The following is a 21,563-nucleotide window of genomic DNA, read 5'->3' as shown; positions in this document are numbered from 1 at the left end:
CTGTGAGTTGAAGATTTTCTATATAGTCTTCAACACTAAACCAAGATCAGAGGGCGGAATGAAGGATTGTGCTATCAGCTCGTTCCTTCTCTCTGAACACAGTGAAGGAGTTTAAACACAATGCTTGTGCTTAATTTTGCAGGTAGTTTTAGAAACTTCTCACCAATAATGAGACTTCTGCCAGTTTTTCCTACTTGGTTTTGGTCCTCTTTAGTTCTTTAGTGACAAAATTAATTAAATTCATATCAGAAAGTATTTTTTCCCCTGTGCGTGCTTGTTTTGAAAAAAAAAAAAAAGTGAATGTTTATTTGAAGATGAGGTGCCTTCCTCTCATAATCTGACACCTATTTGTAACAGTCATAGTGACAAGGGCCAGATGAATTGCTGGGTCAATGAAACCTGACTTTCAAATACTTATCACTGCATTTTCTGTCCTTATTTTTCATGTTTTGAGAGAAATCAACACACAACACAGTCACTTATCCTGAGACATAGATTCATGTTCTGTATTCATATAGGAGCCCTGTTTATATTATTCTGCATTGTACCATTGTCATTATGATTTATAGTATTACTTCTAGGCTCTAGTAGATCACTTTTGTGGTTTGGGGCTATAACAGCATGACAGTAGAACAAAAATACAAACTTGAACAATAAACAATGAAAACATGTGAATGGAGACAAGTTGCAGGCTATTCACTGAGTGTGAGCAGTGCAAAACCAACCACTTGTTATTAAGAGTGTAATGAGATTTCCGTGAAAATCATGATTGCTTATATTTCAAATCTGTGACCAAAATTGTTTTAACTTGTTTTTTTTTTTTTTTTTTTTTTGCTCTGAAGCTACCAAACTTCCAGGGGCCACACTTTGGGAACACTATCCTACTGTTTTCGATGAGAACATTTTTGGAATAGACTGATGAACTGGGTACAGGTGGGAAGGGACTGGTCCCTGGTGAATTTTAAAGAGAACGAAAACGAGAAACTGAAGAACAACGGGTTGGGCTCCTTGTGTGGAACAGTTGAAGAACCAGGAGTTTAAGCTATGTCCTTACAAGTGTTTCCATTTGTTCTTTCTTTGTACCTTGCAGAATAAAAGCCAGGGATCCATCTTTGTCCGGATACACGCCCCGTGGCAGGTGCTGGCCAGAGAGGCAGAATTCTTGAAGATCAAAGTTCCTACCAAGAAAGTATGAGCATGTTTCTCCTGGGTTCTGGGCCTCCTGAGGGCTGGATGGATGCAAATAATTTGGGAATAGGGCCAGGTGGGATGTGGGTTTTGTGGAATTGAAATCACACTTGCTTCCCCAGGGACCCATGATGCCGGGGTGGGGGGTGGGGGGTGGGGACGGGGACGGGGACGGGGAAGAGTTGGGGTGGGGAGGGAGATCCTCCCACCTCAGAGCACTGGCTGGGTTTGCTCCATGAGAAGCAACACATTGTCCCTGTCCGTGTTCTTCATTTTTCTGTTTCACCTCCTTTCTCTCTTCTCGGGGTCCTAGTACAGCCAGACACTTCTTTAGTGAATAGAGTAATGAGAGAAGGCTGCAAGCCACGCTGACTGTGTCAGCAGTGGGCAGGGGAAACAACACCAATTTGCTGTGGAGAAACCTATTCTGGTTATGATTCTGCCACTAAATATTGTGTTTGGTGGGTTTCACTTATCTCTTCTGTAAATCAGAAGGTTCTTAATCAGGTGAATTGATTAAGATCACCTGGTAAGTGTTTTCAAACTGTTCATGCCAGTGTCCCATCTCTGGGAATTTGACCTACTTGGTTGGTATGGAATGACGTTCTCATCAGTGTTAGGCAAAAAATCCCCAGGATGATGCACATCTGGGTTGACAGCCACACAGTTTAGATGATGTTTGAGGTAGTTTTTTTTTTTTTAATCCAGGATAGTCTATACATAATTTAAAAATCTACCCAGAGGCCAGGAACGGTGGCTCACACCTGTAATCCCAGCACTTTGTTGGGGAGAAGTGGAAGGATCTCTTGAAGTCAGAAGTTTGAGACCAGCCTGGGCAACATAGCAAAACCCCACCTCTACCAAAAAAAAAAAAAAATCTACCCAGGGAATTTCTAGGTGACATGTCTCCTTGCATAACAAAATCTAGCAAATAGCTCCAAAGAGAAAGGAAGCATGTGCTCACAGATACTCCATTCTTTATTCATAGGTATTTTAGGGGAAAGGGGTGGCTATTGACTTTGACCATCTGCCATGTCTCTTAGGGAGGGTCCTGTGGCAGATGGCACTCTAGTTTAACCATGGGTGAACTGTGGGTGGTCTCTCTTTCTTTCCCTCCACCCCCTCTTCTCTCTCTCTCTCTCTCATATACACCACACACACACACACACACACACACACACACACACACACACACGTCCCTTTCCATAGTGTAGTTGTATACATGCTACCATGGCAAAGATCATCTTGCTGTTTGTAACTACCATCATCATAGTTTTCATGCTGCCCACTGTGAACAGAATTCCATATTTGTTGCCTTCTGTACCACCACTGTGATCACCTGCCCCCTCGTTACCATGCCGACTCTCAGTGCTATCATTATAGTCAGCAACACCATTCTGATTTACATTGTTGGCCAACACCATTTTCACTACCAACAGATCTGCTATCTCCATCAAAAATCACTCATCAAATACCAGCACATGACTGATACCATCATGAATCCTCTACTTGAGAAGAATAAAGTCTATGGGTTCTGTTCTTATAGATTTATTACAATGGACAATAACTCCACGGCAGGTGGACAAATGCTTATTAAACAATGAACAAACACAAACATTAATATTAGCTACAAACATTTTGCCAACAAAAGGTGATTTTTGGTGTCGGGGAGGGGGGTCACATGCCTGAAGTGTCTTAGTTTCACAAGGAATACGCTGTGTCTTTCCCCTTCAATTGCACTGCTGCGTTTTTTGTCTCCTAGTTTCAGTCCTCTCACTCCTAATACCGCAGCCCTCAAATGCGGGTGCCATCTTTGTTTTGGATCTCTGCTTCTCTTTAGCTCATGTTCTCTGGAGTTCCTGGCAACATGATACTAGTTTCAGCTTTGGGTGGAGGCTTCTGCTTCCTTCTGGTGGGGTCCTGTTTTGGCCAACCCTATCTCCTCTTTCTTCTGTCTTCCTTCTAACTCCAATATATTATTCTCCTTTCTCTCTGGTTTATCTGAATGTGTAATGTTCTCTTAACCTCATTCTATTTGTGTCTTGTTTCCTATGTTTTAATCTCTGCTGCTGATCCTTGGAAAGGAGGTGAGCAAAACTCTAATGCCCATGTTATGATTTCCATCCCCCAGGGTAACCCTTTTAGGGGAAACCTAGAGACACAGGAAAAGTGTGTCCTTTTTCAACCTCCGCTTGCTTATTTTCCCTCTTTGCTTTCCTTCCCGTCTTTCTACTCTCATTCTTTTCCTTCTCTTCTCTCTTCCTTCCACCCCCCACCTCTGATGCCTCCTCTTAGCCTCTCTCTCTGTTCTTTGCACACTCTATGACACCTCCACATCTCTCTTTTTTTTTTTTTTTTTGAGATGGAGTCTTGCTCTGTTGCCCAGGCTGGAGTGCAGTGGTGTGATCTCGGCTCACTGCAATCTCCGTCCCCCAGGTTCAAGCAATTCTCCTGCCTCAACTTCCCGATTAGCTGGGATTACAGGTGCTCATCACCATGCCCAGCTAATTTTTGTATTTTTAGTAGAGACAGGGTTTCTCCATGTTGGCCAGCTGGTCTCGAATTTCTGATCTCATGATCTGCCCGCCTCGGCTTCCCAAAGTGTTGGGATTACAAGCGTGAGCCACCACACCCAGCCAGACACCTCTACATCTCTTGTCTTTCTGCCACCTTCTCCTCCTCACTCCCAGACTTGGCTTCCCCAGTAGTGCTTGCCTTTGGTCCCTCTGGTATCTCCTTTATCTTTTCACATGCTTATGCTTTTTAGAGCATAGTTTTGCATAAATGACATATTGGCTTTCAGAGTTTCAGTGCCCCTATACATTAACTGTTTGGAACTTACATCTGTAGTTTTTAGGTGGTACCTGCATTTGAACTTGTAGATGAGTTGGCGAGGGTGAGAACATAGTATAAAGCAGCCATCTCTGGGTTTCTCTCCCCACTTTGCATTTTGGTAGACACAGCACTAGTCGAGTCCTCAGAAGAAGAGACTTCTAACCTTGGTTCTGCAGTTATTCGTTGTGTGGTTTGGGGACGTCATCCCATCTCTCAGAGCCTCAGTTGCCTCATCTATGATATGGGCATACTCATACCTGTCCTATTTTTCTTAGAAGGTTTTTGTAAGGATCTGATTCTTAACCAGTGCTGTGTAAATGCAGGACTTTGTTGTGTCTGCTTTCTGAGATATTTTAATGTGTATTCTCAATTCTTAGTCCCCCAGTCAACTTCCTTTCTGACCAAAGAAGCAGCCAGCACTGATAGTGCTCCCTCTGTAAGAAAGTCCTTGGAGAGGCACTGAGGGAGCAGAAACAACCCATGCCCTCAGGGTGCCGACAATCACAGGGCAGCATAGGGGGAGTGCAGGTGCCCAGACATCAATGCAGTGATGGGATACTGTGTCAAGTAGTAACTCATTAGCCCAGCACCAATTCTGTTTGTCAATGTGGTGGGTTAGGGAGTAGGGAGAGGCAAAGCATGTGATTGCCCCCCAAGGCTGCAGATAAAACAGAAAGAACTTTTTCCCAAAGTTTCTTGGTCCCAGACTCGACTCAGGGGGACTGTTTTGGCTTCCTTTTACCACATGGCCCCAGATCTTCCTTTTCTTTCTTTCTTTTTTTTTTTTTTTTTTGAGATGGAGTGTCCCTCTGTCACCCAGGCTGGAGTGCAGTGGTGCAATCTCGGCTCACTGCAACCTCTGCCTCCTGGGCTGAAGCAATTCTCTTGCCTCAGCCTCCCAAGTAGCTGGGACTATAAGTACGCGCCACCACGCCCGGCTATTTTTTGTATTTTTAGTAGAGACAGGGTTTCAACATGTTGGCCAGGCTGGTCTCGAACTCCTGACCTCAAGTGATCCATCTGCCTCAGCCTCCCAAAGTGTTGGGCTTACAGGCATGAGCCACTGCACCCGGCCCCAGATCTTCTTTTTATCATAGAAGGCAATGGCTTGTAGTGGAGCTCACGGAGGGTGTTATACACAGATGAGGGGGGATATAACTTGGTATGCTGGGTAGGATGCTATGTTTGTAAAAATTAATCTGAGGCTCTGATCCCAGGGGTGGGGGTCTGGGTTAAACCCAGTTCCTGAGTTGAGAGAGGAGCATGGAAAATGGAAGACGAGACTCGCTGTCTGTGGAGGGCTAGTGTTGAGGCTGGTGGCATGCTCTCTTTTTAAAATGAGAAAAAAACCACATTTGCTGAGAGCCACATCCTGGCGGCGAGGGGAGCGTGGAGGAAGAATGAGGCATGGCGCGGGATCAGTTAAGCATCCTCCAGGCAGTGGAGGTTTGGATCATAACTCGGTGGGGTCCAGAGAGACTGGGAAGATGGGGAGGAAATCACAAAATCGAGATCTCAAACCTGGACAAATCCATTGTAATGTGTCCAGGGACTCCAAGTCCTGAGCACAGATATTAACTGGGAGGGGGAATCTTGGAAGGAAGCATTTGTTTTCCAAAAACAACAACAGAAGAGCCAGCATTTTGTGAGGGACACTCAAGATCCATGCACAGAAGGGTGTGGGAAGGCCTGGCCTTTGGCCCCGAGCAGCCTGAGAAGGTTTGAAATGGCGGTATGGAAGCAGGTGCTTTCTTACGTCTGCTCATTACCAAGATGGCTCTTCTAGAGATCGTGGTCAACATTTCTGTTGATTTCTCATTTGCTTTTTTTGTATATATGAATGAACACTCCGTTTCTCATCCTTTACATTCTCTTATTCCTCAAGCCTCTAGCAGAGACAAGGTCGATGCAGGCTATTAGGGACGACTTTCATGTCAGTGAAATCATATTAATCCAGCCAGAGTCCACTAAATTTGGAAGAAGTGACATGCCTGGGATGGGTGAAAAATCCCTTTTGTCCAATCGTCAGAGCTTTTGTAGCTATTGTTAATAGAGTGACTGATATTGAAGGGGTCTCATTTGCTGTCCCTCAGAGCATGCCAGAACTTCAGCTTATGTGTCCTTTGCACGCAAGTAGATGCTGTTAACTTCCAGCAAGTCATGCCTTTTTAGGAAAGCAGGCTCAGAGCTCCATGCATCTCCAAAACGGGAGTAATACACATTGTGGAGGGAAGAGGTGATGATGTTCTCTGAATGCCTGGCAGAGAGGCACACACAACACATGAGAATTGCCGTTGTTACTGCTGTTGGTATTGTTATTCATAGCAAGGTGTGCAGGCAGCGCAATTGGTACAAGACTAGGGCTGTTTCTGCTCTTTGACTCTCTTCTCTCTTCTCTGCAATGTTGGGGGAAGCAGGCCCAGTCCCTCAACTCTGCCAAGGCAGCCAGAAATCCAGACATGAAATCTGTGGAGATGCAGGAACAGATGGCCTTTGGACTATGTGCTGGGGACTTCCACTTCCTAGAGCGCGGGTCCTTGGGGCGTCTGTAAACACGACGGCTCCACCTGTGAGGTCTGCGGTGCAGTTGCTGGGAAAGCCAGTGAGAAGACTGCTGGGGCCCCGTGGTGCAGGAGGCAGAGCTTGAAGGCACCCATTTTAAGGGAGAGACAGCAAACGTGACAAGTGGTCCACCTTGAGTTCCACTATTGGCTCTGCCACCATTAACCTGGGGTTACTTGATTCATGTCTTAGTCTGTTTCCTAAAATGGACTTGAGATGGATGACAACCAAAAGAATTTTGGTTGTAAAAGGACAGATAAAAAGAATCATGTAACTGGGGAGGGGGGGAAGTAGGGAAGTGCAAGGGAAATGATGATAGTGGAAACTAAAAATAAGGGTGATGGATGCAGGAGAGACAGAGTTGCATTCTGGGCTTTCTGGTAGCCAAGACAGAAAGGACTGTGGCTCACAGTCGTCTATAGGAATCAGCATCTGTTTTGCCAAAGGAGGCAAATTTTTCCTGTTGTAAATGACATGAACAATACAAGGGACTATGTTTTCAATAATAAGTTCACACAAGCTTCTGCAATGTTCTTCATGTGACCATTGTTTGCACTGATTCTGGATAAAACTGAGGATGTAATGTTAAAGTGTAGTTGAGGGAGGGTTGAATACAGAGTAATGTGTGAAAATTTCTGAGGGGCTAACTGGGTTCAAAGATAACGGTTCGAGCAGAAATGCCACTGACACTTTAATTCTTTTCGGTTGAACCCATGTTTTGAAATGTTTATGTCTACTAAACTGCATTTATTAAAGAATAAGTTATCTTCTTTTCCTGAAGAGAAAACATATGTAATTGCTATTAAGCATTATTTATCAGTGTGAAAAAAATTGGTGTTTCCACACTGAGCTGATAGAATTCCAGTTAGAAAGCAAAGAAACTTGGCATTTTAGTTAGCTTCAGTGGCCCTTTAGGAGGGAAAGGTAATTCCATTTAGCTTTGGAAATGATTGGAAATTGTTCTCAGGTACTTGTTATTGTCTCTGTAGAGACTCTGATTTGGTAGCCCTGGCTTTTGCAAAAGCTTCACAGGAGGACTTCTTCCTGGTTCATGGTGCTCGCCCGGCCTGAGGGACTCTACTCAGCCAGGACTGCAGCACCTCTTATTTCTCAGTTATCCAGATTTGAGGCTTGTATTAGGGTTCTCCAGAGAAACAGAACCAACAGGACACACACACACACACACACACACACACACACAGAGGTGTTATGAGGAATTGATTAATACAATTATGGTGGCTGGGAAGTCTCAAGATCTGCAGTTCATGCGATGGAGACCCAGGAGAGCTGATGGTGTAGTTCCAGTCTATGTCCAAAGACCTGAGAACTAGGAAAGCCAATGAAGAAGCTCCAGCAGCCTCAAGACCCAAGAACTGATGTTTCAGTTCAAGTTTGAAGGCAGGAAAAGACTGATGTCCCAGCTCATGCAGTCAGGCAGAAAGAGTTTCCCCTTACCTGTGGGAAGGTCAGCCTTTTTGTTCTATTCCGGCCTTCAACTGATTGGATGAGGCCCACCACATTAGGGAGGGTAATCTGCTCTACTCAGCCTACTGACTCAAATGCTCATTTCATCCCAAAACACTCTCATAGATACACCCAGAATGTTTGACCAAATATCTGGGCACCCAATGGTCCAGTCAAGTTGACACATAAAATGAACCATCACAAGGCTTGTACTTTCCAAGTCAATAATCCTCTTTGTTAGGGAATGAATAGTGGCATTCAAAAAGATATGTCCAAGTCCTAGCCCTGGAACCTGTAAATATAATCTTATTTGGAAAAAAGATCTTTGCAGATATAATTAGTTAAGGATCTCAGGATGAGATCATCCTGGATTTAGAATAGAACTTAAATCCAATGACAGGTATCCCTATAAGAGAAAGGCAGAAGGAGATTTGAGAGGGGAGAAGATTATGTGAAGAAGGCAGAGACTGGAGTTATGCAGGCTCAAAGTGAAGAACACCTGGGGCCATCCAAAGCTGGAAGAGTCAAGAAATAATTTTTCCCTTACAGCCTTCAGAGGGAGTGCAGCCCCACTGATACCTTGATTTCAGGCTTGTGACCTTCACAACTGTGACAGAATAAATTTATGTTGTGATAATTTGTTATGGCAGCACTATGAAACTAATACACTCTTCTTCTGGGCAGGAAGCAGTAAGCAGACAATTGAAGACCTAGGTCTCTGGTAGGCTTGTTGGCTTTCTCTGTATTCCAAGAATCCACTTTGCAGATTCTAAGATAACTTGGAGTAGTCTTGTTTATTTGTTGTCATTGGGTTTGGGAGTTTTATGGAAGAGACTTGGTGCATGGATCTTCCTACGTGACCTTGGCATGTCTATGATGACTTTTTCATGTTCCATTCCTGTTTGATGAAATAGAAGTAGAGGCTCACGTTGTTATGAATGGTGGAAGGAGACCCAATGTGGCTCATGTCAAGAAGAGCTTACTCCACTCAAGAATTATTTTCCTATTTATACTTCTATATCCAAATACAGTAATTGGCTTAAGTAACAGCTTCTGCCTCAGTAAGAGGTGTCTGCAAAGAAGGATATTAGCATCTTTTAAAGCTTGTCCATATTTCATAATTCTTACATTTGACTTTGAGGAAAAAGATTCATAAAACCGCTTTGAATTATGCCACTCAAAACAAATTATCTTGAGATCAAAAGTCTTATAAGTATAAGTTGATAAATAAATTAATTGAGTTTTAAATATAGTTAATACTGCATCCCATGTGCTAGACCATTTCGTAAGAGCCTTATGTACGTGATTTGTTTTCACCTTCACAACAACGACATGAGGTAGATATGACCGTTAGCTTCATTTTATAGATGAGAAAATTGAAACTCAGAGAGGTTAATAAACTTATCCAAGGGCACACACCTTGAAGGAGATAGTCAGGGACTCAAAATCATGTCTGTCTGACTCCAAAGCCACGCTCCTGCTCTCTCACTTTACTGAAAAATCCATAACTGGACTTGAGGTAGTGGATAGTGTGGTCTAGAATGGCATTTCTCAAAGTATATTTTTTAGAATGAAAGTCTTTGTTCTTCTTTTGGATTTTTTTTTTTTTTTTTTTTGAGATGTAGTCTTACTCTGTCGCCCAGGCTGGAGTGCAGTGGAGCGATCTCGGCTCACTGCAAGCTCCGCCTCCTGAGTTGATGCCATTCTCCGGCCTCAGCCTCCTGAGTAGCTGGGACTACAGGTGCCTGCCACCACGCCCAGCTAATTTTTTGTATTTTTAGTAGAGATGGAGTTTCACCGTGTTAGACAGGATGGTCTCGGTCTCCTGACCTTGTGATCCAACTGCCTCGGCCTCCCAAAGTTCTGGGATTACAGGCGTGAGCCACAGTGCCAGGCCATTTTTTTTTTCTTTTTTGAGACAAAGTTTCAAAAAAGTCTTGCCCAGGCTGGAGTGCAGTGGTACAGTCACGGTTTATTGCAACCTTGACTTCCTGGGCTCAGGTGTTTCTCCCACCTCAGCCTCCTGAGTAGCTGGGACTATAGGCACACACCTCCATGCCTGGCTAATTTTTGGTAGAGACGGGGTTTCCCCCATGTTGCCCAGGCTGGTCTCGAACTCCTGGGCTCAAGTTATCCACCCACCTCTGCCTCCCAAAGTGCTGGGATTACAGCTGTGAGGTGCCATGCCCAGCCTAGTCTTTGGTTTTACTAAAAAAAAAAAAAAAAAAATTTCATGGTTGAACAAATTCAGAAAACACTAATGATTACAATTTACCAGGACAGTCAAAGTTTTGAGAAGCCTTGTAGTAAAAACAAACAAACAAACAAACAAACAAACAAACACACAAAAACTGGTTCAATTTTTTTCAGGCCTTTTTCTGCTGAACACTTGAACACCTATGAATATCCTGAGGAACCAATGTTCTGCAGAACATACTCTGGGGAATTCCATCCTAGATTAAAGAATCCTGGTCTGGGAGAGGCAACAGATTTCAATGGTCATTTTTAAAAATGATATTGTCTTGCTCAGTGAGTTATTCCACATTCCTGGATGACAGCTTTCTCACCCGTACAGTAAGAAGATTAGCTCCTGAATTATCTACCATAGCTTTAAAATGCTGTGGTCTACATGTAAAGCAAATGACAATTTGTGAATGTATTTTTTCCTCTGTTATTGATGTTGGCTGAGGGGCCTTAGGACAGTTACCTTTTGGGGTCAGTTACATTCTGATTGTTCACAGATATCTAAGAGTAAAAGTGTCGTACGTCTGTCACCTCTTCAAGCTTTGCTCTAAATACAGTAGTACACTTTGCCTGTGGTGCCTATTCTGAAACTGCCCTGTGTCCCCAAGCCTGGTAATGTCACCGGGCTTTCTCTGGGTTTACCCATGCTGGACTGCTCTTCTCCAAACCACACCTCTCTGTGTAGCCTAGATGGAGCTCCCTGATTTAGACTCTCGTCCAAGCAGAGTACTTTACTCTTTCCTCCATGGGCTGGAGCCTTTCCAAATGCTTTAAGTATTTGTCCTTAGTCCTAGAATATTCTGCCCATTCCTGTCTGAATAAACATATACTACTCATCCTTTGCTGCCCAGCCTAAATCTCACCTCCTTCATAGACCTTTCTTTATTCCTTCAGCCCGAGCTGATATTACCTTTTCCGGACTCTTAGTCAACAGTCAGTATTTATCTTACCTGTTAGTTTTTCTTCAGCTGCTTCAGGTCCTAACTCTTGTGTTTCCAAATATATCATAAGCCCCCTGAGAGCAAGTACTATGGTTTATATCTCTTACGTGTTCCCTGCAAACTCTAGTATGGTGTTCCTCAAACAATATTTGCTCAATAAACACCAGGTTGATTAACCCATTGATGCTTCCTCTGCCCAGCATCTTGTTTGGGTTGTGATCCCTAGCAGAGTCGCTCAGGATGATAAGAGATGTTTCAGCTCACAGCTGTACACTGGCCCTATGAAATTCGGCAACAGGAATTGCCCCGCGTTCCCTCCTCACCCTGACCAACTCCTTCCTTTATCGGAACTGTTTTTGATAGTTCAGTACATCCAGAAAGAAAAATCAGGAGAAATTCTCTGAGTTTGTTGTTGTTTATTTATTTTATTTTATTTTATTTTTTTTTTGAGATGGAATCTCGCTCTGTCACCCAGGCTGGAGTGCAGTGGCGCAATCTCGGCTCACTGCAAACTCTGTCGCTCAGGTTCAAGCAATTCTCATACCGCAGCCTCCCAAGTAGCTGGGATTATAGGTGTGCGCCACTATGCCTGGCTCATTTTTGTATTTTTACTAGAGACAGGGTTTCACCATGTTGGCCAGGCTGGTCTCAAACTCCTGACCGCAAGTGATCCGCCCACCTTGGCCTCCCAAAGTTCTGGGATTACAGGTGTGAGCCACCGCGCCTGGCCTGAGTTTTATTAAGGATGGAGAACTTGCAGATCCTCGGTCGTGGGAAGGAGGTTCGCTGCCAACTCAGTCTTCAACATGACTTTCTGGACAGATTCTTGTTATTATTATTGTCAGTAACTTTTTAAATGAGCTAGAACTGATGCCGTTTACATAGGGTTGGTTGGCTATAGGTGGGGTCTTTCTCTTGCTGTCATTACCTGTTCTCTAACATTTGTTTTCAATAGAGGGACAGCTGGGAGGGTAGGGTTTATATTTAATACCTTTATGGGCTTTTCAGTGCATGCTCTTTGATTGCTTTGATTGCTGTTTAAATAGACTGGAAAGAGTGCAGAATGCTTTTTATTCATTTTGTTTTCTGTAATGCTTCTCACTGTCAAAAATAAGAAAAAATAATTGGTGGTACCTAAGTGCTGCAGTTCCTGTGAGGAACCTGAGATGGTCACGGCCGTGTGGCGGATGTGCGTATGAGCCTGGGAAGACCCCAGGCCCGGTTGACTACGTGGAGGCCTTTCAGTGGACAAGTGTGACTCAGGGCCCAGAAACAGTGACGTTAAAAATATGAAAATGTGTTACAATAGCAAGTTAATCTAAACCGTTTTATCAGCAGCACCCACAACAGTGCCTGGTGTACAGCAGGCACTAAATAAATGCTGGTAGCGAACGAAAGAGTGAGTCATGCACACCAGATCTCACCCAGTGGTGGTGGCGTGCTGGAGGGTGATGCTGAGATGGATTCGGAGGCTCCATCCAAGGGCAATAGGCAGGAATCCTGTGCTCCCTGAGGGCTGCCTGCGAGAAAAGGGCAGGGCATCATGGTGGCACATGTAGCATTATAGCTGCCCTGATCTGCGTCCTTTGCTAAAGGACTCCTTCAGTTAATGGGGACAGACTGTGTGTAAGAGATCCTGTGGAAAGTTACGTTTTCCATCCACCCCTCCGACCATCCAATGAATATTTATTGAGTATTACCATACACCAGGTACTTTGCTGAGGGCTGGTGATATAGTGGTGCTAATAACTGTTCCCTGGCCCCACTGGTGTGGGGAGGATTCAGATGTTGTATGGCTAGTTATAAATTGGGAGGCAAGGCTGGCCATGGTGGCTTACACCTGTAATCCCAGCACTTTGGGAGGCAAAGGCAGGAGGATCACTTGAGGCCAGGAGTTCAAGACCAACCTGGCCAACAAAGCAAGACCTCATCTCTACTAAAACTAAAAAAAATTTAAGAAGTTAGCTGGGTATGGTGGCATGCACCTGTGGTCCCAGCAACTCAGGAGGCCGAGGTGGGAAAATCACTTGAGCCCAGGAGGTTGAGGCTGCAGCGAGCTATAATCATACTACTGCACTCCAGCCTGGGTGACAGAGTGAGATCTTGTCTCAAAAAAATAAAAAATAAAAAGTAAAATAAATTAGGAGGCACCAACAGAAGAAAAAGACTGGGTTATGACAAGAGAGCCAACCAGAGGAGAATCATTTAGATGAAAGTGGGGGAGAGGAAGAGAAGACGCCATTTAAGCTGAAATGTGAGCACTGGGTAGGAGTCTGTGGGTGGGAAGATCAGGTGAGAACCTTCCAGAAGAGGGAAGGACATGCCCACAGGCCCCAAGGTAAGAAAACCCTGGACTGCGTGTGGAACCAAGGGGAGCCAGGGTGGGAGCAGCTCAGAGAGAGGGGCAGGGGCTGAGGCTGCCGAGGGAGGCAGCAGGCATGGCGCCTAAGAGGCCTTGTCAGCCATGTAATTTTAAAAGTTTGGTTTTAATCCCAACTTTTATAAGTCAGCAAACATTCATTCATGTGTAGAGGACCTACTGACAACAGAATCAAAAACCATAAACAAATACAGAACTAGACACTAGAGAATGTGCATTGTGTAAGTGTATCACTGTCTGTCTACACTCAGTGTTGTTGCTGAGGGGAAACTTACCTGTGGACACAGGTGGGGTGGAGGGGAATGGGCAGCCCCTGTTCTCGCTGTTCTTGGTGTGCACAGAGAAAGTCTTCCTTTGGCTCCAGGTTGTAGCTGACCTTGGCTGCTCCTGGCGCTGTTTCCCTTTTGATCGCTGAAAGGCTTAATGCTCTCTTGCATGCGTGAATGTGCAGCAAGCGAGCAGGGACAGATTTCAGCAGCATGGAACCCCTCAGGTCCTGGCTCAGCGTGTGCCTGTGTGCCTCTCGCAGGCACCACCTGGCGGGGAGAGCAGTGGGTGAACTCCATGGCATTTTTGGCTTCTCTTGCTCCTCCCTTCTTCAGCTCCAGAATCTTCCATCCTTGCCCAGCTGGTGACTTGCACCCCTTTCCTATTGTTCGGCTTCTCTGTGTGTCTGAGCCTTTAGGGTGAGTAGAAAGGTATAATGATCGTCTTCAGCCCAGCCCTACCTCTCAAGATGAGTGAGATACCATAAGTAATAACTATGGAACTTCGATGATCCAGCGACTGGAGGAGGAGCAGAGGAAAGCATCAATAAATAAAAAGAGGCGGACGATGGGTGTTAATTTCTGTCAACACGTGTGCTCCCAGCTGCAGCACACGTTCTGTTCTTAGGTCTGGTCTGCATTCCTCCTGGGTGACCTTTCCTGCCTGTTGCTGGGAGAGACACTCTTAGGCCTCTGCAGATATTAGTGACTCATGGGTCATTAAGATTATGTTGTTTTTATCTTATACTGTTAGACCTTTTCCTTGATCTTCGGGGTCATTGGATCTCCCAATGTTTGTGCACCTTGGGCATGTTAGTAAAACTTTCTGTGCCTCAGTGTTTTTTAATCTGTAAAATGGGGACAGTGCCTTGTATACTGTCCAATATATGCAGCTTCATTCCCCGCACCCCAGGAAAGCACATGATTTTAATATAAAAAGGAAACAAATCAGCCCTCAGACCACACTGCTGTGCCCCTCTGCAGAGGAGAGGCTGAGGGAGACAAGAAGGAAAAAAGAAGTAAGAAAAGACAGTAAACCCCTTAGACTGTAACAGTGAGGCCCAAGTGAGCTTTTATGAGAACCACATTTGAGCCCTGGAATAAAAAATAACAGCAACATATTTTAAAAATTATTTATGATTTTAAGCACATGAAAGGCGTATCATGTACCCAGGGAGGGCATAATGGGGAACAGCTGGCTAACATGTGTCTCGCCATTTCTGAGGTTGTTCATAATTCTCTGATATCCAAGAATGACAGTAATAATGATGCCACTGCTGATTGTATTAATAATAATAAAGAGGATTGGGGTGTCTTTCCTGAATCCTGCCGAAGTAAAGAGGAGAGCCTGGGCTGCTGGGTTTGGCCAGGGTGGAAAGGGGCACTACAGCCTACTTTCTTCTCAGGGGCAGTCCATGGAGCCCAGCCAAGGATCAAAGGATGTTAGGTTGAAGTAAAGGGCTCCAGAAGGGGAAGGCAGGAAGCCTGGGCTCCTGGCATGATTTTACCACTGACTGTGGCCATTCCCAGCCCCTCTGAGTCTCAGTGTTCTCATCTATAAGGTAGAGATGCTAATCCTACCTGGCAGGCACACCTGACAGAGTTTGTATGGACCGTGGATGAAATGATGCTCAGGGAAGTGCTGGGTACACTGCAAAACATTCCATACATGGAAGGGTTTGTTATCATCCTTGTGTTTCTCCAGGGCTTACCACAATCAACCACCAAGCTCAGGACTGGACATCTAGGAGGTACCCAGAGATGCTTGTGCCATGAATGAATGTTTCTTTTTCATTAAATGTTCAGAGCCATGGAGTGGTAGCCTTGGACAATACTTTTTAAAGTATTTAGTCCAGTTCTCTCTTTTATAATTTGTTAGGTGAGTCTGGAGTAGCGCTCAGTCTAAGGCAGATTATCCTCCATTGCCGAGTCATCTGAGCACACTACCCAGTGCCCTGTGAATCAGGGAATTTTCCTGTACAGCTGGTGGGCATAAGTGCTGTTCCCTTTCAGACAGTTCTCTCTCCAGTCTTGGGTACTTTCCTCACACTCATGGGCTAAATACTCACAGGGGACCTTCTGTAGCTCTCTGGGGTGCTCTGTCCTGTGAACTCTAGTTGTCTTGCTCTCCCCAGACTTAGAGCTCAGTCTTCTCAACTCAGGGAGTTTCTTGGGCTCCACCTCTCTCCCCTCCTCTCCCAAGGCAGCGAGCTGGACTCACAGGGCTCCCCTTGTCTGTCTCCCATCTCTCAGGGATCACTGCCTTTCATTGCCTGATGTCCAGTATCTTGAAAATCATTATTTCATGTATTTTGTTTGGGTGTTTTGGTTGTTTTAGGCAGGAGAGTAAATGGGTCCCTGTTACTCCATCATGGTAGGAAGTAGAGTTTCCCTTGTTTTCCCTTCGGAGATGAAGAAGCTGGGAGAAGGGTATGACTTGCTCAAAGCTGCACATCTCATTGGTGTCAGCAAAGAGGCAGCCTCCTGTCCCCACTGTGTGCCAGCACACAGGCAGGGTCCCTGCTCTCCGTAAGTCCATGGTTTGTTGGGCAGACAGACAAATCAACTGAGAATTTGAGACAGATGCTTAAGTCAAGGAAAGCAAACCACAATGTATTTTATGAGGCGGGTATTCATCCACAGGGTACCAAGGAAGCATGGAAGGAAGTGAGAGGGCAAGGAAGGGCTCCTGGGAGGGTTGGCACATGAGCCTTGCGGTGAAGGAGAGGCAGGAGTCATCCAGGCGGGAGAGGAGGGAAGAAGTCTCAGGAACAGGTAACACACACAACAGCTCGGAGACAGGAAGCAGGTCCCTCGCCTCAAGACCAGTGTGTATGGTGTGTACTACGGGGGAGACCTATGTGTGTTTTATTGTGGATATGAACCTGCTCCATCCCCCGACAGAGTCCCTGAAGTCTGGAAATTTCTTCCAACACAAGTCTGCTGTGGTGTTTCAGCCTGGGGATGTTTGTGTAGGGTCTTGTTCAGGGCTATGCAGTTGATGTTACCATGAGGTTTCTGGTGGGACTCTGGCCTTCCACACTCTTGAAGGCAGCCAACAATATTCCTTTCAGTGATATGGAGCATCCTCCATCAAGAAACAGTTGAAACTTACCCCAGTCCCACTCCTGGTCCCAGTAAAAACAGCGTGGGAGCCCACTCCCTTTAGCCCGTTTCTCTAGGTGAGCCCTAGCAGATCTATTGCCAAGGTGAGGCTCAGGAACTGCCTGGAGGTTCTCAGCTGAACGTCTGCCAGAGCCAGACCCTGAAACAATTGATGGGTTAGAAATCTGCATCAACTTCTGTGGGATCGGTGGTGATATCCCCTTTATCATTTTTTATTGCGTCTATTTGATTCTTCTCTCTTTTTTTCTTTATTAGTCTTGCTAGCGGTCTATCAATTTTGTTGATCCTTTCAAAAAACCAGCTCCTGGATTCATTAATTTTTTGAAGGGTTTTTTGTGTCTCTATTTCCTTCAGTTCTGCTCTGATTTTAGTTATTTCTTGCCTTCTGCTAGCTTCTGAATGTGTTTGCTCTTCCTTTTCTAGTTCTTTTAATTGTGATGTTAGGGTGTCAATTTTGGATCTTTCCTGCTTTCTCTTGTGGGCATTTAGTGCTATAAATTTCCCTCTACACACTGCTTTGAATGCGTCCCAGAGATTCTGGTATGTTGTGTCTTTGTTCTTGTTGGTTTCAAAGAACATCTTTATTTCTGCCTTCATTTCGTCATGTACCATCATTCTCAGTAAACTATCGCAAGAACAAAAAAGCAAACACTGCATATTCTCACTCATAGGTGGGAATTGAACAATGAATCACATGGACACAGGAAAGGGAACATCACACTCTGGGGACTGTTGTGGGGTGGGGGGAGGGGGGAGGGATAGCATCGGGAGATATACCTAATGCTAGATGACGAGTTAGTGGGTGCAGCGCACCAGCATGGCACATGTATACATATGTAACTAACGCACAATGTGCACATGTACCCTAAAACTTAAAGTATAATTTAAAAAAAAAAAAAAAGGCAGGAATCATAAAAAAAAAAAAAAAAAAAGAAATCTGCATCAACTAAATGCAGGCATTCCTGGCCCCGTGGGTGCTGCACTCCTGGCCCCGTGGTTGCTGCACTCCTGGCCCCGTGGATGCTGCACTCCTGGGTGCCTTTGCACTTGGTAGGGGCAGGAGGGGGAGGCTTTTGGCCTATCAGAGGCCTTAGGCTTTTGGCTCACCTCTAGCCTGGTTTATTTCTACCAAAACCAGACCAGTTGTCTTATGACTGTTTGGATCCCAGTCTGGGCTCCTCCAGTGACAGCAACTGCTGTCATCAATGCTGGTTCTCCAGAGATTTCTCATTCATTCATTCATAAAACAATAGGGAACATTTTGGACAGTATCCTGTCCTCATGGGATTATGGTTTGGTAGGGATGGCTGGACATTCATCAATCACTCAAATAAGTATAAAATTACAACTGTGATAAGTGTTATAAAAAAAGGAATTAGGGCTTATGAAATACAGTGAAGGTGGGACTTGCCATTGTTTGGAAGCCAAAAAAGGCTTTTTCCCAGGAAGTGACAATAACACGAGACCTCAGTGTGAACAGAGCTTGGTGAGCCAGCGGGTAGGGGGTGGTGAGGTGGGAGCCATAGGGGCGAGATGTGCCCAGCTCAGCCAGTGTCTGGGTGCAGTCAGCAGGAACTACACGGAAAGGTCAATATGGAGACTTCTACAGGTTCCATGGGATGTGTTAAGAGTTTTGGTCTTTTTCCTAAGAGCAGTGGGTGACTGTTGAAGGCTTTTTAATGAGGAGGCAAGAAGATTAGATTTTTGCTTCAGAAACCTCACTTGGGCTCCAGTGTAGAGACTGAATTGGAGGTGGGCAAGAGTAGAAATGTCAGATAGAACACAGGATGCCTAGTTAAATTTCAATTTCAGATAAACAATGCATACTTTGTTAGTATATGTCCCAAATACCACATGGGATATAATTACATTTAAAATTTATTGTTTTAACTGTATTTTTAAAAAGTTTTAAGTAGGTTGCAAATATTGCATGGGACCTAATTATGCTAAAGATTATTCATTGTTTATCTGAAATTCACATTTAATTTGACATCTTGTATTTTTATTTGTTCGATCTGGCAACCCTTAGCAAGAGAAAATGTGGAGAGACTGGTTATAGACCAGTTATTGTTGTAAACTACTAAAAGATGTTTAGGTTAGGTAGCAGAGGTGGAGACGGAGAGGAGTGGACAGAAAAGGAATAGTCCTGGTTGGTCCAAATCTGCCATTGAAAGGCATCTGGAGGACAGAGTCCATCAGCTTCCCTCCCACTCTGAAACTAATTACCGCACACATGCCATTTAAAGACACGTGGGTATGGTATGGTGAACTCCATAGTCTCAGTGCAGGTCAGGTGCCTGGTCAGAACCTGCACTGAATGGCCTATAAGAGGTGTGCTGTGACAGTGTGAGGTGGTCTTCTTTCTGTCTCCATCCCTCCAGGCCAGAGACACCTGAGAGGTGAGTTCTGTGCATTGCAGTGACTAATGTGTGTGAAGGAGAGGTTTGGTAGAAAGGTCAAGACCTTACGACAATAGAGGCAATATTGTAAGTTGTACACTGCTTTTCCCATGACAACTCACATTTTACAAATCAAACAGTGGAGTAAAGCAGTCAAGAACACGGGCTTTGCCAGGGGTTTTAAACCCCATCGGTTATTAGCTTGTCTACACTATCTGTGTGATCTTGGCTGAGATACTTAACTCTCTTGGCTTTGCAACATATTTTAAGATTAGCACTAAAGTACATTGAAAGCCAGGCCCACAGGAGATGCTTAGTAAATCGTATATGCTACTAGAATCAACAGTCTCCTTGTTTCGGAAGGCAGGCTTACTCTTCGTCTTCTTACACAACTCACTTGATTATCTTCTTAATTCACAGCTCTGGTTTTGTCACTGTTCACACTGTTCAGTGTCTTCCACTGCCTTGTGTAGCAGATCTCCATGCACTCATCTCAGTTTGCCCCAACTGAGTTTCATGGAGATCTGCTGCACAAGGCAACAGAAGATTGTTGCACATGAAGATTGTCACTATTGCCCGTCAGAACCCCTTTGTCCAAGCAAACCAGCCCGTGTAAACCTCCTTAAACATAGCTTGAACTTTCCACTTTTTTGTTTGCCTAGAATATCTTTTCCTGTATCTGTTTAAGCCTTATTAATCAAAACTATTTATAAGTGAATGTTAACAGAAATATGAACCAAAACAAGATATAAAACTTATATATAAAATGAGATAAATGCCTGTCACTGGGGAAATGGCTAAACAAATTAGTATTCATGTCTACTGTGTAATACTACGCATCCATTACAGTAGCTGTATGGAAACTGTCCTGGAAAGATATCTATGATATGATGCTAAATGAAAAAAAAGCAAATTATAGAGGAATATGTGAAGTAGGGTCACAGTTGCTTAGGAAGGAACCTAGTTCTATCTATATGGAAAGAGTAGGGATTAAATATATTCCAAACGGTTAAGTGAGGTTCCTTTTGGAGAGGAGGGTGGGAATTGAGTTGGAAGTCAAAGGAAACTCCTAACGTTTAGTTAATATACTTTAATGTTTTAAGCTTGTTCGTTTACCTGAACTGTGTTAATTTTGTAATTGAAATTAAATCAAAATGCATAGAAAAAGGTTTAGAAGAACTAAATAAACTGTGGTTATGTTTCAGTTGTTAGACTGGGGAGGCTCTTGCCCTGTCCTTACTTATCATTATTTTATTAAAGAACAAAATGGTAATGGAAGAAGATTACCCTTCTGCCAAATCCAACTGAAATGCTACTCCCTCAACGAATATGTTTCTAATTCCTCAACTGAATGTGCTGCCTCCTTTCTTTGAACCCTCAAAGTACTTTATATATCTTTTGTGGCATTTTCTCATCCTATCTTAGTGAGTATTTCAGGTGCCCAAGTATGAAGACAAGTATTTCATACCAGTCTTACTGCCCCTCTGCATTGAAGTAACGTGAAGCTATCATGGTAGAGAAGGAAATAGGATTTTGAGTCAGAGCGTCTGGATGTTGCCTCTTATTCTGGATGTCTATTGCAGCCTGACAGATTAGCCCACACTTAGTAGCCTAAAGCAACAGTCATTTCATTTTATCTCATGATTTTTTGTTCAGGAACTTGGGCAGAGCTGGGCTGGGTGATTATTCTGCTTCATGTGGTGTTGACTGGGGTCACTTGGTGGTAGCCAGCTTGGAGGTGGGATGGACGGGAGGGTTCAGGAAGGCTTTAGTTGTATGCCTGCTGCTTGGCAGGGCAGCTGGAAGACTGGGCTCAGCTGAGTGCCTTTCCCTTACTGGGTACTCTCAGGACGCCTCCGTAGACTTCTTATGGTGTGATTCAGGGCTTCAAGGGATAAGGCGGACCAAGGCTGAGGCTGCCTGTCTTCTAAAGCAGTGGTCCCCAACCTTTTTGGCACCAGGGACTGGTTTCACGGAAGACAATATTTCCATGGACCAAGGGTAGGGGTGGTGGTGGCAGGGATGGTTTCAGGATGAAACTGTTCCACTTCAGATCATCAGGCATTAGATTCTCATAAATAACACGCAACCTAGATCCCTCACATGTGCAGTTCACAATAGGGTTCACGCTCCTATGAGAATCTAATGCCATCACTGA

The 21,563-nt window shown here is 44.4% G+C and overlaps 1 protein-coding gene across 3 annotated transcripts in view; it reads left to right on the top strand.

The window, feature by feature from the left end:
- Window positions 1-21,563, top strand: part of ANO2 (anoctamin 2) — a 383,578-nt gene that overhangs the window by 91,001 nt on the left and 271,014 nt on the right. For 2 of the 3 annotated variants that reach the window (NM_001278597.3, NM_001278596.3), the window contains exons 4-5: window positions 1,091-1,189; window positions 3,273-3,275. In NM_001278597.3, coding sequence (NP_001265526.1) covers window positions 1,091-1,189; window positions 3,273-3,275 — 102 coding nt within the window. The remainder of the gene's footprint in view (window positions 1-1,090; window positions 1,190-3,272; window positions 3,276-21,563) is intronic. The other variant, NM_001364791.2, reaches the window with a different exon arrangement.

Source organism: Homo sapiens, chromosome 12 (assembly GCF_000001405.40).
Source record: "Homo sapiens chromosome 12, GRCh38.p14 Primary Assembly".
NCBI lineage: Eukaryota > Metazoa > Chordata > Mammalia > Primates > Hominidae > Homo > Homo sapiens.
This window is presented reverse-complemented; position numbering and strand designations above follow the sequence as displayed.